The sequence below is a fragment of the Homo sapiens genome, chromosome 14 (genome assembly GCF_000001405.40).
Source record: "Homo sapiens chromosome 14, GRCh38.p14 Primary Assembly".
In the NCBI taxonomy this organism is placed as follows: Eukaryota; Metazoa; Chordata; class Mammalia; order Primates; family Hominidae; genus Homo; species Homo sapiens.
In genome coordinates, this window is record NC_000014.9 from 67,276,643 (window position 1) to 67,292,305 (window position 15,663).

A 15,663-nucleotide genomic window follows, 5' to 3' on the forward strand; every position below is an offset into this window, starting at 1 on the left:
ATAATCATTTATTTTCTTTGCTTTCTCTCCCAGTAGACTGAACATTCCTGGGGAGATAACCAAAATGAAATTTAAAGCAGATTACTACCAGGTTATAGAAATTTTTCTGAGAGCAAAGGTTGGATCCAGATATACAAGTATGATAGTAAATAGTACAAGCATGAGAATTTTGACCTGGATGACCTGGCCCGGTCTCTCTTGCATGACTTCTAATTTTCCCTCATAGTGTAGTGAATATGGACACAGATGTAGAGCTTTTAAGCTGAGTTTCAAATTTCAGATCATAATTTATATTAGTTAAAAACACATCATTTAATATTAAATTTGATTTTTAATATCCAGTAATTGTTATAGAGAGGGTTAAGAGTTTTAATTTTCTGAAAATACTAAATCCACTCCTGGATTTTTAAAACTAAGCATAGCACTGTAGTAACTCCTACATAATTTTTCTGCTTACTTGTAATGAAAACATTTAAAAAGCTGAATTTGCATTTGCATATAATCAATGCCTAACATAACTTAAGAATTGCCTAACAAAAATCAAATAGCTGTCATGTTAATGAAAACGAAGGCAGTCTAATGGTAAATAAGGTGCTTACGTGTAGATCACAGTTAGAAAGAAGTCAAAATTTGGATGAAAGACAGAAAAATCTACCAAAAATTTTAAGCAAATGTAGTTTTAATAATAGCTCTTGTAACTGGCATCCATTTTCCTGATTGTTGGACTAGTGGTTTTCCTGATAGCCTAGTTGGGTTTGTATTAAGCATTTTGTCTTCTGTCCCTGTTTGCATTATGACCCAAGATGTTTGAGAAAAGATTGGCTGGTATTAGGAATATTATCTGAAAACCTGGCTTTTGCTTAGTTGGCATTGTGCTCTAACCAACTTGTTTACTAAAGTGATGCCCAACTCAAGGAGGTAGTAGGTTTATTACTGTAAATATTATTGCTCTTGAGTGAAAAAAAAAAGGCTAATTAGATTTAATGTGTGGGTTTACACATATGTAAACAACCTGCCTATGTATGCCTGAGAAATAGCTTGATGAAAAGCCAGAGTTATCTGGTAAAATATTTTTATTTTCTAAAATATGTTGAAAGATTTTTAAAATAGAATCAAGTTAATACTGGTAATTAATGTAAGTATACATTAACTCATGTGAAACTCAGAACTGTCAATCCTATGAATAAAGCTTCCAAGTGAATCTGAGGGTCAAAGAGAGAAAATGACTGGTCTTAAGTCATAAAACTAGAGGATTAAAAGTTCAGTTTTCTTATCTCCCTGTTTACTGTGATCTTTTTGCTGTACAGTATGACTCTCAAAAGTTTTTGAGTGGTAACAGATACAACCGTTTTCTCTAAATGAATCCTTGTAATTCTTGTAGAGTTAACCCCAATTCTTTTTTTTTTTTTTTTGAGATGGAGTCTCGCTCTGTCACCCAGGCTGGAGTGCAGTGGTGTGATCTCAGCTCACTGCGGCCTCTGCCTCTCAGGTTCAAGCGATTCTCCTGCCTCAGCCTTCTGAGTAGCTGGGGTTACAGACACCCACCACCACACCTGGCTAGTTTTTGTATTTTTCTTAGTAGAGACGGGGTTTTGCCATGTTGGCCAGGTCTCGAACTCCCGACCTCAGGTGATCTGCCTTCCTTGGCCTCCCAAAGTGCTGGGATTACAGGCGTGAGCCACTGCACCCGGCCCAATTCTTTTTTTTTTTTTTTAATGGGACCAGTTATAAAGACTGATAACCCATGTAATCCTTGTCTCAATGTAGTTTTGTCCTGTAGCTGCCTCAGCTGCTAATTGAAGTTTCTTATTCGTTGGGCATGTTCTCCATCTCAAAAACTCTTAAAGATGAATTATCCCCCAGAATACTGCTTGTATTTCAAGTGAGGTACAAACAAGGCTGCTATATGCCAAATCAGTTGATCATTCATCAATTTCTTTAGCAGTTATTCTTTAGCAGTAAGTTATTTCAATCCCATGTTAATTGTTGAGCATAAAGTACAGTGTTGAGACAACTACTAAAAGATGATTAAAACACCTTTTATGTTTGAAGCAAGCAACGTGTTCTCTACCAAACTAGTACCCCAAACTTTTTACTTTCCTACTTTGCTAAACTTTCCAGTATTGTATATCATTTTTCTTAGCTTTAAAATTGAATAGTATGTTTCACATTTTTGGAAAGGGACTTTTTGGGGGAGGGGGGAATCTTGATTTCCTCACCATTATCTGTAAAGTGAAAGTACTTAATCTACTTAACAAAATAATATTACATACTTATTATTTTCTACGTTGTATGGTGATTAGAAGTGGGCTCTGTAAAAACCTGCTTTTATATTGTAATTCTTACACTTTTTTCCCCCCCATCTTTCCCCTTAGATTTCCTTCATGGATACTTTTTCATAGCATTATTATGTGATGTGAGAAGTTTTTTTTTTTGAAGTAACATGGATTTTATACTACAGAATCAAGAGAATTGGCTTATAGGAAAAATTGATTTATAAAAAGTGGTACAGGTTTTCATAGATAACCATGACAACATCCCATATGAATGGGCATGTTACAGAGGAATCAGACAGCGAAGTAAAAAATGTTGATCTTGCATCACCAGAGGAACATCAGAAGCACCGAGAGATGGCTGTTGACTGCCCTGGAGATTTGGGCACCAGGATGATGCCAATACGTCGAAGTGCACAGTTGGAGCGTATTCGGCAACAACAGGAGGACATGAGGCGTAGGAGAGAGGAAGAAGGGAAAAAGCAAGAACTTGACCTTAATTCTTCCATGAGACTTAAGAAACTAGCCCAAATTCCTCCAAAGACCGGAATAGATAACCCTATGTTTGATACAGAGGAAGGAATTGTCTTAGAAAGTCCTCATTATGCTGTGAAAATATTAGGTAAGTAAAAATAGAGGTATAACAGAAAACATTTTGCTTTAATTTATCTGTGCCTTATAATGTATATGAGAAGGAAGAGGGTTTAAGAGAATGTAAGTAATGACAGTTTGAATTCCAGACCAAGATCCTTTGTTTTCGTGGAAACGCCGTATAACTATTGTTTACTGTTACCAACATAGAGCTAAAAGCATGTGGCTTAAATGTTAAGTCACTATAACATGTTTTTTTAGATATTAAAGAGTTCTGCATGGGCCCTAACATTTAAAGCCTTGAAATTTACCTTTTATATCAAACCACAAACTTTATGCAAAATACTAAAAAAGAATTTTCAGATTTTGAATTTCTGATTTCCTTAAAGTTTTGTAAAATAGTAATAAATTTGTAACTACAGTTTAAATTCTTTGATTTTTTTAAATTAATGATTGTCAATAAAAAGAACTGGTATTGTTCATATGGTATCATAAACTTAAAATAATGGTATTTTCTATATCCCCAAATTCTGTTCTGTGGGGGGAAAAAAAGTCCTATGAGATATAAGTAGATACAACCGAACCAAAAGAATTCTGTGACCAAATGGATTTTGAGAACTCTGGGCTAAATAAGTTAAATAGCTTCTTATCACGGGACTTCTCATAGCTGTTAGAATGTTACTAGGCATTGTGAATCTACAAGAGAGATTGATATCAAATGCATGTTTCCAAACTTAGAATATTTAATCATTGAATTTACTGCCTGCCCTTCTTGCACGTGCACATACACCCAAGTGCTCACTGAACTAGTGTTAGGAGAGCATTTTATTTTTTGGTGGTTTGCTATTTTTTAGGTGTGAAAAAAGATATATTTCTACTTTTTTGTAGAAGGAGAAAGTTTTTATTGTCATTGTCATCATTTTGCCATTCATTTAAGGGTCTGTTTAGCCTGTACTAAGTGTTTTAGCAAACATTGTTTCATGTAATAAAATAATCCTGTTAACAGTACTCTGTAATCTCCATTTTGGAGATAAAGAAATTGAACCTTAGTTAAACAACTTTTTAAAGACACCAATGGTAGAGCCAAGTTTGAATTTGCCAGATCAGGTGTTGATGTACTACACAAAATGGTTTGAATGGAAACCGGTATCCAGCCTGCGTTTCACTCACCAGGCCAGAGCTGTGGCTACCCAGAATAGAGCACCTTTTTCTAATTTGGCCAAAGGTACCATGTATATGCCAGATTTGTTCCTCATTAAGTCTCTTTATTCCAACTCTGGAGCAGTTTCCTTCCTTCCTTCCTTCCTTCCTTCCTTCCTTCCTTCCTTCCTTCCTTCCTTCCTTCCTTCCCTCCCTCCCTCCCTCCCTCCCTCCCTTTTCTTTCTTTTCTTTCTTTCTTTTTTTTTTTGAGGTGGAGTCTTGCTCTGTTGCCCAGGCTGGAGTGCAGTGGTGCAATCTTCGGCTCACAGCAATCTCCGCCTTCCCAGGTTCAAGTGATTCTCCTGCCTTAGCCTCCCGAGTGGCTGGGATTACAGGCATGTGCCACCACACCTGGCTAATTTTTGTATTTTTAGTAGAGACCGGGTTTCACCATGTTGGTCAGGCTGGTCTTCAACTCCTGACCTCATGATCTGCCCTCCTTGACCTTCCAAAGTGCTGGGATTACAGGTGTGAGCCACTGTGCCCGTCTCAAGTCTGGAGCAGTTTCTACTACATCACATCATCTTCTTTTCTTTGTTATAAATTTTTATTCAGGATCCACATTTCATATGTACATGCTTTTCTGTGTTTTAAGAAATCATAGATATGTGTTCAGTCATAGTGAAGTCTGCTAAATTCCTGCCTTCAGACATTTTAATTACAGTGAAAGCTAAAAGATTACATTTTTTTAATACCTTTATGTGAAAGAATTTTATGCTCTTTTTTCCTGAGGGTTTTATTAGAGTAAAAATACTTCATTCCTGATTGCTTCTTACTAGCCTTCATTTCCCACCACTCTATTATTATTTATTTATTTATTAAAATATTCTGAAAATATTTTATTGGAGAAAGTTTGTTATATCCAGTGCAAACCTGGATTGATTCTTCTGTTTTTCTGTTTACATTCCCTTAAGATTAAAGTATTTGTCCATTTGGTTTACTTAGAATCAGGTGTAAGTATCCATCTGATAGGTAATATTCATGTAATCACAGTAAAGAAACAAATATAGCTTCAGCCGGATTCACTTAGTAAGAGAACAGTTGTGAGTTTATGGTTTTGTTTGTTTTGCCTAAGCACACAAAATTGGACATCATTTCTCTTAATTTTTTTTTTTTGCTTTTTCCTGTTTCTGTTTGAATGTTCTATTGCTGACTTTTTTACAAATTCAGATTAAAGGATACCTCTATTCCAATGTGTAATCTGCTGTGGTTTTTAAAAGTACCTATGTGTGGTCCTTGAATTTAAGGCAGTTTTGTGTATTTTATTTTAAAGTAATTTGAAATGTCATAACAGGTATTTGTAATTCATTTCTTGGATAGGAGAAGATGTATTTTGAGAAATAAATGATATATTTTATGTTGATATAGTCAACACAGATATCTGTTATGTAAGAATCATGAGAAATTAGCATAAGGTATAGTTTGCTATTGTCAGTCATAGCCTCAGGTTTTTAACTTTTTGTTTAAAGTGAAGTGTAATAGCTTTTTGCCAAACTTTTTTTTCTTGTTCATAATCTGCTAACACATCAAACTGTAAGAGAAGTACTCCCTGAACATTGTGTGTGTCTCCTGGCTAGTATTTGATTAATACCCATATGACAGGAGACAACTTCTCAGCCTTTTTCACATCTAGAAACAGCAACCTTATTTTAAATGAGGGAAGAATGGGCAACTGATTTATTTCTCTGAGAGGAAGCCTTCAGTTTCTAAACAATACATCATCATTTATCTGTGAGTAGACAAAGTATTCTTTTAAGAATCAAAAATATGATTGGCAAGATTAAGTAATTGGGTGGTTTTTAATGAAAAGCATTTGTAAATTTGACAATGTATGATAATAAAAGTACAGGGATGGAATTGATAGAAAATACTCAGAAAGGATGAACTGAATTTTCTTGTTTAAAAGCAGTTAGAATTTTTTTGAAAGATAAGAAATAGTGATATGGGAACTAGATTTCAAATGAATAATTAGTATTATAAATGGTAAAAAATTTGATATTAGGGAGGCTTTCCTTAAAATTGGCATTAGTTTTTAAAGCTTGCTTTGTTACAAATATTATTGTCTTTGTTCTCTTTCATAATCAGAGCAAACTACCTTGTGAGAGAAATCCTCGGAAAAGAAAATAATGCAGGTTAGAGTGGGTTAAGCTAGAGTAGGGTAATTTTCATATATTTCTATATTATAGATTTCACTGTTTTTGTGTTCTCAGTTAAGTAATTTTGGGCCAGGGATGTGGACAAGGAAATATATAGATAGAATACTTGAATAAACTAGGGATGACTGCCATCTATCATATATGTGACTATAAAATTGTTGTCTTTGAAGCAGTGTCAGGAAAGGGAACATACACACCCATATATATCTGTGGTGAGCTGTTTAGTGGTTAATAAAAAGACTCCTGGAATTTGTGATTAGGGGCTTTCTAATCTATGAGATACTATTAGTGTGAAGAAGGAAAAACACACCACGGGGAAGAAAACCGGGATGAATAAAGCTAAAGAACAAAATATTTTCATAGAATTAATAGCATGTTTCAGTCTTAATTAGTGTCTGCATATTTTTTGTCAGATGTCTCTGGATATTCAAACTATTAAGTCAAAAGATTATTGACATTTTAAAGTAAAATAGCTCTTTCAGATTTCATTCTGGCATTTAACTGACTTTTGATTGATCATGGGGCATACTGGAATTTTGTGTGATTGTAAACTTTTTTAAAGGTTGGCTTTAAGATAAAGTTTATTTCAAGCCAACAGACAAAATCCCAATGCCAGTAAATCTTGAGTTTTAGTTCAGCCTGCTTCTGAGAAGTTGATTATTTTTACTATCAAATTTTTGTTTAGCTATTGTTACAGATATTTCCAAATAAATGTTATTAGCCATTCCTTCAGGGAATTTTTTTTTATCTTCCTGGAATTGAAATAATTAAATCTGTTGTCACTAGATTTAATGTTTGAAGTGTTGGGATCATTTGAGAATTCTGTGATTTAGTCAGGTTGCTAAAATTAGACCTAAAGATGTAAAAATTCATTAGAGTATATGTATAGTAATGTAAATTTTGTTTATTAAATACACATAATTCTATAGAAAAGTAACTGCTACATCATTCAGTCTTTGACACAATACGTTGAAACTTCATTCCACTTATTAAGCAGTAGTAGGTTTTAAAACTTATTTCTGCCTGCGAAGATTTGCTTCGTTGTCTTACGGCACATTCAGAAATGTATGCGGTAGCTGCATATTGGAAAGTAGGGATAATAGAGTCAAAACTGAGTTTAAATACTTTTTAATGTCACTAAATTGCGCTATTGACTTTGGGCATGTTACTCAATTTTTCTGAGCCTCGGTTTCAGGATTTTCTTGAGGACCAAATGAAAAAAGCATTTGAGTAAATGGCACACTACAGGTTTGAATGAAATTTAATTTTTGTTAGAACCAGAAGCTACAGAGAGATCATCTAACTCTGTAGTCCATAAAATTTGTGGATCTTAACCACTAATTTCTTATTTCATTTTAAAAATAACTTTATTAAGGTATAATTCACATACCATAAAATTTTGTCTTTTAAACTGTAGAATTCATTAGTTTTTAGTATACTCACAAGGTTGTGCAGGCAGGCGTGGTGGTTCACGCCCGTATTAGTAGCACCTTTGGAGGCCAAGGCAGGAGGATCTCTTGAGCCCAGGAGTTTGAGACCAGCTTGGGCAACATAGACCCTATCTCTTAAAAAAAAAAAAAAACAGCTGGGCATGGTGGTATGCTTCTGTAGTCCCAGCATACTAGGGAGGCTGAGGCAGGAGGATTTTTTGAGCTTTGAGCCCAGGAGATCGAGGCTGCAGTGCTAAAAAAAAAAAAAAAAAAAAAAAAAAAAAAAAAAAAAAAAAGGTTGTGCAATCATCACTACTATATAATTCCAAAATATGTACCCATTAATGGTCACTCCCTATTCTGTCCACCACCTGGCCCTTGACAACCACGAATATACTTTCTTTTTGGATTTGCTTATTCTAGACATTTTATATGAATGAAATTACATAACATAGGCTCTTTTGTGACTGGCCTCTTTTCACTTACCATTATGTTTTCAGGGTTCATCCATATTGTAGCATGAATCAGTACTTCATTTCTTTTTTATGGATGAATTAATATTCCACTGTACAAATATACCACATCTTGTTTTTCCATTCGTCTAGGTTAAAAAATTTTTATTTTTATTTTTATTTTTTTGTAGAGACGGGATCTCACTGTGTTGCCCAGGCTGGTCTTGACCTCCTGGCCTCAAGTGATCCTCCCACCGTGGCCTTCCAAAGTGTTAGGATTAGAGGCATGAGCCACCACAATTTTAATTCCACAGGTAGATGTACTGGAAACTGATGTAATTTCCTCCTACTTAGTAATATTAAGTTCCCCATCTGAGTATCATATTTGACCCTACAGTTTAGAGGAAAAGAAATCTTAAAAGTTTCAGAAAAAAGTCATGAAGTTGGTTGGACTTGAAATTTCTGAGGACAGGTTAAAAGAGTTGGAATTATTTACACAATGAAATGGAAAAGCTTAATGCTGGGTATAGGTCCCTAGAAGCTATCTGTTTTCATATGGGGTAAATGAGAGTAATATATAAAAATAAATGATGCCAATCCAGATGGAGATTCCTTAGGTAAATTTTTTTTTTTTTTTTTTGAGACGGAGTCTCGCTCTGTCGCCCAGGCTGGAGTGCAGTGGCGCGATCTCGGCTCACTGCAAGCTCCACCTCCCAGGTTCACACCATTCTCCTGCCTCAGCCTCCCGAGTAGCTGAGACTACAGGTGCCCACCACCACCCCTGGCTAATTTTTTTGTATGTTTTTAGTAGAGATGGGGTTTCACCGTGTTAGCCAGGATGGTCTCGATCTCTGATCTCCTGATCCAGCCGCCTCGGTCTCCCAAAGTACTGGGATTACAGGTGTGAGCCACTGCGCCTGACCCCCTTAGGTAATTTTAATGTTTACCCTTATAACCAAAAAATCTTCCACATGGTTACCCAGAGTTCTAGGCATTGGAAAGTAGGATTTTCTGATAAAGTAACTCTTGGTGATTGCTTTCTGTTGCCTGTTTCAGAGTCCATTCTTTTACGTTTTAGACTGACAGGAGAGGGCAAGGAGGGAGGACAGAGTTTACGAGGGTGGATTTGTGGACCCATGTGTATGTTTGTATTCATCTGATTAGTTGTATCCTAAAGCCAAATGTAAGTGAATTTTCTTACTTTAGAATAATATATTCTCTCTTTTAAATAATCAAGAGTTAAATGTTGCGTGAAATATTAGAGAAGATGGGAGCTTAATTTCTACTGAAAAATCAGGTAAGAGGAAATAGCTCCACCTACAGGGCAAATAATTTAAACTAGATATAAAGAAATTCCTTGTAGGAAATTTGTTACAGACTTGAATTTACTACCAAAGCTAGATTTGCTATGCCTGCCTCTACCTTCTCCTGGGCAGAGTGCCTCCATCCCGCCTTAGTACTTACTTTTTTGTCCACTCCCAACCTAGCACATATATCAGTCTTTCTCACTAGCCTTGTGGTTCTTCATTTCTCTCTTTCTCTGTCCATGTGGTTCCTTCTTGTGTCTGTTGTCTGTCTGTATGGGATTGGGGAAGGGAATTTCTTCTCTCTGTCCTCTGTCTTCTCTTTGTTGTCTCTGTGTCTTCATCTTTTATTATGGAAGAGTGTATTTGACAGGACTGATTTAGTTACATCTGAATGGATTTTTTAAATTCCCTGCAGAATTGTATAGAATGTTGAAAAACTTAGGTGGATTTTTGTTTAAGTAACAGATATATCCATCAAAGAATGGAACATTTCTTTGAGTGTGTGGAAAATTAACTGTTCTTAGCCGGGCGTGGTGGCTCATGCCTATAATCCTAGCACTTTGGGAGGCCGAGGTGGGTGGATCGCTTGAGCTCAGGAGTTGCAGATCAGCCTGGGCAACCTGGTGAAACTCCATCTCTACCAAAAAAAATACAAAAATAGCCAGGTGTGGTGGAATGCGACTGTGGTCTTAGCTACTTGGGAGGCTAGGTGGGAGGATCGCTGGAACCTGAGAAGTTGAGGCTGCAGTGAGCTCTGATTACGCCACTGCACTCCAGCGTGGTGACAGAGTGAGACCTGGTCTCAAAAAAAAAAAAAAAAAAAGAAAAAAACTGTTCTTGAATAATACGTATTTGTGAAGTGCTTTTAAAAATGTACCCTTTATGGCTGCGCGTGGTGGCTCACGCCTGTAATCTCAGCACTTTGGGAGGCCAAGGTGGGTGGATCACTTGAGTCCAGGAGTTCAAGACCAGCTTGGGTGACAGTGAAATCTTGTCTCTACAAAAAATACAAAAAAATTAGTTGGGTGTGGTGTTATGCACCTGTAGTCCCAGCTACTGGGGAGGCTGAGGTGGGAAGGATCACTTGAGCCTGGGAGCTCAGGACTGCAGTGAGCCATGTTCACACCACCGAACTCTAGCCAGGGTGACAGAGCGAAACCCTATCTCAAAAACAAAAACAAAAAAAAAGACACTGGAGATTCTGGTTATGATTAAATTAGAACTGTGGCAAAATAGGTCTTTTACATTTCCTTAGTTTTTTTTTTCCATAAATATATTGGATTAAAAGCCATTGTTCTGATATAAGAAAAAAGGATGAAATTATATTAAGTATGTTCTAGTTAAGACTACAGGGATATCAGTTAAATTCTACTTATTAAAAAGCACTCTAGTAGTAAAATGGGCAAAAGATAAAATGGATGAAAGAAGAAATTCAAATGGCTATAACTTGTAAAAATATGTTCTATCATACCAGATCCCAAAAATTAAAAGATTGATAATTCTTAAATTGATTTGTGTTTGTGAGAACAGACATTCATGTGCAACGCTGGTAGGGGTATGAATTGGTACAAATCCAGAAGGCAGCTTTGGCAGTATGTGTCAAAGTGTTAAATGCTTTTGTTATCTGATTAATAATTTTATCCTAGAAATTTATTCTAAGGAATTGGAAAATAGGTTGCAAAACAACATTTACAGTGTCATCTATACGGTTAGACCAGCATTTTAAAAGTTTGAAAGGCTACATGGCGTAGCAAAATAATACCAGTAGTTAACAGCCGAAAGGTAGAAGTACAGGTAATTTTCAAAATAATGTCAGTATTTTAGTGTCCTTTTGAGTGGCTTTGGTACATAGGAGAGATTATACAGAAACTCCTTGGCCTTAAAAAGTTTAAATTCCCCTGAGGTTGAAGAGACCCAGTAGGGATACAATTACCTTCTGGGCTGTCTATGGCTGCTTGTTGATTTCAGTCAGTGGTGAAATCTGAGGCCCTCAGTCTTTCACAACACACTAACAGCCAGGCTGGGGTCTCCCTTTTTTTTTCCTTCGAGACAGAGTCTCACTCTGTCGCCCAGGCTGGAGTGCAGTGGTGCGATCTCCGCTCACTGCAACTTCCGCCTCCGAGGTTCAAGCGATTCTCCTGCCTCAGCCTCCCAAGTAGCTGGCACTTTAGACATGTGCCACCACACCCAGCTAATTTTTTTGTATTTTCAGTAGAGACGGGATTTTACCATGTTGGCCAGACTGGTCTTGAACTCCTGACCTCAGGTGATCTGCCCTCCTGAGCCTCCCAAAGTGCTGGGATTACAGGCATGACCCACCGCACCCAGCCATGAGACCCTTTTAACAATTACTAAAGACCTTGCAAGGCATGGCTCACACCTGTAATCCTAGCGCTTTGGGTGGACGAGGCAGGAAGATTTCTTGACGCCAGGAGTTATAGACTCCATCTTTACGAAGAAAATTGTTTTAATTAAACAGTAATTTAATTGTCTACTCAGAGAAGTCTAGTCCCCATAAGATTGTAGCTTATGCAAAGCTTAACTGCTTTGTTGCTTTTATAATTTCTTTTTCTTATAAGATATTTAAGTGTTATCCTATTTTGCTTTTAAGACACTTTAAGGCTGTTGAATTATTTAATCTCTTAGGGAATTCTTTGGTAACCTCATTGTATGTGATGGAATCTGACATTTTATATTCTTCCTATCTATTCTTAATATTAGCTTATGGTTAGATTCTGGCTATCCCTCAGCTCTTATCTAGCTCTGGGCCACAGCTTCTTAGGTCATTCTAATGACGGTTTTGACTTTTAAATTTTTTCCCAAATTTTTCTTCATTATAAACTACTGATGAACGCACATATATGTATGTTTAGAGAATAATGACAAGGAAAAAGTTTTATTTTCTTTATTTCCTTTTTTTTTTTTTTTTTTTTGAGACAGGGTCTCACTCTGTCATCTAGGCTAGAGTGCAGTGGCGTGATACTGGGTCACTGCAACCTCCGCCACCCAGGTTCAAGTGATTCTCCTGCCTCAGCCTCCCAAGTAGCTGGGACTACAGGAGCACACCGCCATAACTGGTTAATTTTTGCATTTTTTTGTAGACCTGGAGTTTTGCCATGTTGGCCAGGCTGGTCTCAAACTCCTGACTTCGTGTGATCCACCTGCCTCAGCCTCCCAAAGTGCTGGGATTACAGGCATGAGCCACCATCGCACGTGGCTGGCTTTTAAGTCTTATAAGTCTTTATAAAAAAGACTTTTCCCTGTCATTATTCTCTGAACAATACAATATAACAGCTATTTACATTGTATTAAGTATTATAAGTAATCTAGAGCTGATTTTAGGTAACTGGAGGATGTGTATACCTTATATGCAAATACTCCACCATTTTATATAAGGGACTTGAGCATCTGCAAATTTTTCTGTCTGTGGGAGGTCTTGGAACCAATCTCCCACTGATACCGAGGGATAACTATATATATAAAATAAGGAAGACTAAATATATATATGTTTGAAAGGAAGACTAAAGTTGTTTTGATTTGGGGCGGGAAAGATAGCGAACCTCAAGAATCAACCAAAGAACTGTTAAAATCTATTTAAAAATTTAACTGCTGTTCAAATTGTGGGATACAAGATAAATAAGAGTCAGTGGTGTTTCTGCAGACCTTATAAGAAGAGAGCTGACAAAAAGGCACATTGGGAAGATTTTTTTCCATGTCCTTTTTTTTTTTTTTTTTTTTTGAGACGGAGTCTCTCTGTCGCCCAAGCTGGAGTGCAGTGGCACTATCTCGGTTCACTGCAAGCTCTGCCTCCTGGGTTCACGCCATTCTCCTGCCTCAGCCTCTCGAGTAGCTGGGACTACAGGCACCCACCACCACGCCCGGCTAATTTTTTAAATATTTTTAGTAGAGACGGGGTTTCACCGTGTTCGCCAGGATGGTCTCGATCTCCTGACCTCATGATCCACCCGCCTTGGTCTCCCAAAGTGCTGGGATTACAGGCGTGAGCCACTGTGCCTGGCCTCCCTGTCTTTTTTATACTGTCTTTGACTGTATAAGTCCTTGTATGTGCTCTAAGTTTTTCCTAGACTCATTTACAGGTTTAATTTTAGTCAAAATCTCAATAGGACTTTTCTTTTTGGAAGACTAGGAAAGAGGGAATGGGAGGTAACGAAAAAAGTGACATAACTAATTTACAATAGTCGAGAAACTTTTAAAGAAAGATCAGGTACTTGTCATATTAATATAAACAAACATTATAATGCTACTCTAACAAAACAGTATAGTTCTGATAGACCAGTGAAATAAAGACAGACTCTGATATGTGTAAGAATTTGGTGGCATTGTAAATCAGTGGAAAAGGAATTATTATTTGATGAGGTCTCACTCAGTTGCCCAGGCTAGAGTGCAGTAGCGTGATCATGGCCCCAGTGGATTCTCCCACCTCAGCCTAATGAGTAGCTGGGACTAAGGCACATGCCACAATGCCTGGCTAATATTTTGTATTTTTAAAAATTATTGTTATTTTAAAAAGAGACAGGATCTCACCATGTTGCCCAGGCTGGTCTCAAACTGCTGAGCTCAAGCAATCTGTTCACCTCAGCATCCCAAAGTGCTGGGAACACAGGCGTGAGCCACTGTGCCTAGACATTTTTTATATTTTTTTAGTAGAGACAGGGCTTCGCCATGTTGCCCAGGCTGGTCTCCACCTCCTGGACTCAAGCAGTCCACCTGCTTCAGTTTCCCAAAGTGCTGGGGTTACAGACCTGAGCCACTGCGCCTGGCCAGGAATGATTATTTAATAAGTGGTACTAGAATCATTGGTTATTTGGAGGAAAAATAAAGTTAAATTTTTTCAGATCTATGCTGAAATAAATTCTAGATGAATTAAAATTAAATAGAAGTTAAATAAAGTAGAAATTATAAAAAGCTAGAAGAAATCTAGGTAAATATTTTTTAATGACCTACAAGAAGAAGTTTATAAGCATAGAAACAGTGAAAGAAATCACACAGGAAAAGCAGGGGGGTCGGAGTTGACAAATTCTATAATAAGAGCAACCATAAATATAATTAAGAGGTAAATGGAAATATTGGAAAACGATTCCCAACAAATATGACAGAGTATATGTGCGTGTGCATGTACACTCACACAGCCTATTTGGGAGCAGGGAAGAGACTACCAGTGCTTTTTTTTTTTTGAGATGGAGTCTTGCTCTGTTGCCCAGGCTAGAATGCAATGGTGTGATCTCGGCTCACTGCAACCTCCGCCTCCTGGGTTCAAGTGATTCTCCTGTCTCGCCTCCCGAGTAGCTGGGATTACAGGCGCCTGCCACTGTGCAGGGTTCTCCTGCCTCGCCTCCGAAGTAGCTAGGATTACAGGTGCCCGCCACTGTTCCCGGCTAATTTTTGTATTTTTAATAGAGACGGGGTTTTACCATCTTGGCCAGGCTGGTCTCGAACTCCTGACCTCATGATCTACCTGTCTGGGCCTCCCAGAGTGCTGGGATTACAGGCGTGAGCCACTGCGCCCAGCCTACCAGTGCTTCTTAACCATTTTAGAATAACGTTTTCCAGAAAAATGCTTGTGCTATTTATGCACACTAACAGGCAGACACAATGCACATACATATGCCCACAACTTTCAGTACAACTTAGGAGACTCACATATTCATTAGAGTTTTATAGACCACAAAAGAAGTGCCTGGTAATTGTGAATAAACCTCAACTTCCTTACTAGTCAAATAAATGGAAGATTTTTAAAAATAATAATATCAAATATTGCTGAAAATATTGCTAATGGAATGCAGATTAGTAAAGCCTCCCTAGAAAAGCTGTTTGACTTTTTAAAAAATGTCAGAATCTTATCTAAAAGTTCTATTTCTGGGACTTACCTTATGAAGACATCAGAATCTCAGACAAATTTATATGTAGCACTGATTATTATGTAATGAAATGCTTGTTTTTATGGTAGCAAAAAATTGGAAGCAATCTAAATGTTCAACTTTAGTTTAATGGTTACTATAAATTATGGTTTAGCCATGTAATAGAATATAATGGAATCATTAAATATTTAAAAAGACTAGTGATATGGGAAAACATTTACAATGTACTGTTAAAAAGGAAATAGGATGTTAAGAAAAAATATTTCTAGGTGATGGGATTATTGGTGGTTTTAAATTTCTTTATTTTTGCATTCCTCCCCTCACTTGTTTTTATATTGAATGTGTATTAGTTTTATAATTAAAACACCTTTGTAA

The 15,663-nt window shown here is 37.0% G+C and overlaps 2 protein-coding genes across 14 annotated transcripts in view, besides 1 other annotated feature; both read left to right on the forward strand.

The window, feature by feature from the left end:
- The window catches only part of GPHN (gephyrin), a 1,227,209-nt gene that overhangs the window by 768,496 nt on the left and 443,050 nt on the right, over positions 1 to 15,663 (forward strand). The window lies entirely within an intron of this gene.
- The window catches only part of PALS1 (protein associated with LIN7 1, MAGUK p55 family member), a 94,627-nt gene that overhangs the window by 35,208 nt on the left and 43,756 nt on the right, over positions 1 to 15,663 (forward strand). For 7 of the 13 annotated variants that reach the window (XM_047431691.1, XM_047431692.1, XM_011537086.3 and 4 more), the window contains one exon: positions 2,376 to 2,895. In XM_047431691.1, the coding sequence (XP_047287647.1) occupies positions 2,529 to 2,895 (367 nt within the window). In that variant the 5' untranslated portion in view covers positions 2,376 to 2,528. Of the gene's footprint in view, positions 1 to 2,375; positions 5,796 to 15,663 lie in introns of all 13 variants that reach the window. The other 6 variants (XM_024449691.2, NM_001256550.2, XM_024449692.2 and 3 more) reach the window with 2 other exon arrangements.
- Positions 1,217 to 1,417: a silencer, noted in NCBI's record as "peak2181 fragment used in MPRA reporter construct". NCBI's record gives its function as "represses an SCP1 promoter by STARR-seq MPRAs in K562 erythroleukemia cells {active_cell/tissue: K562}" and the evidence as "EXISTENCE:reporter gene assay evidence [ECO:0000049][PMID:32103011]".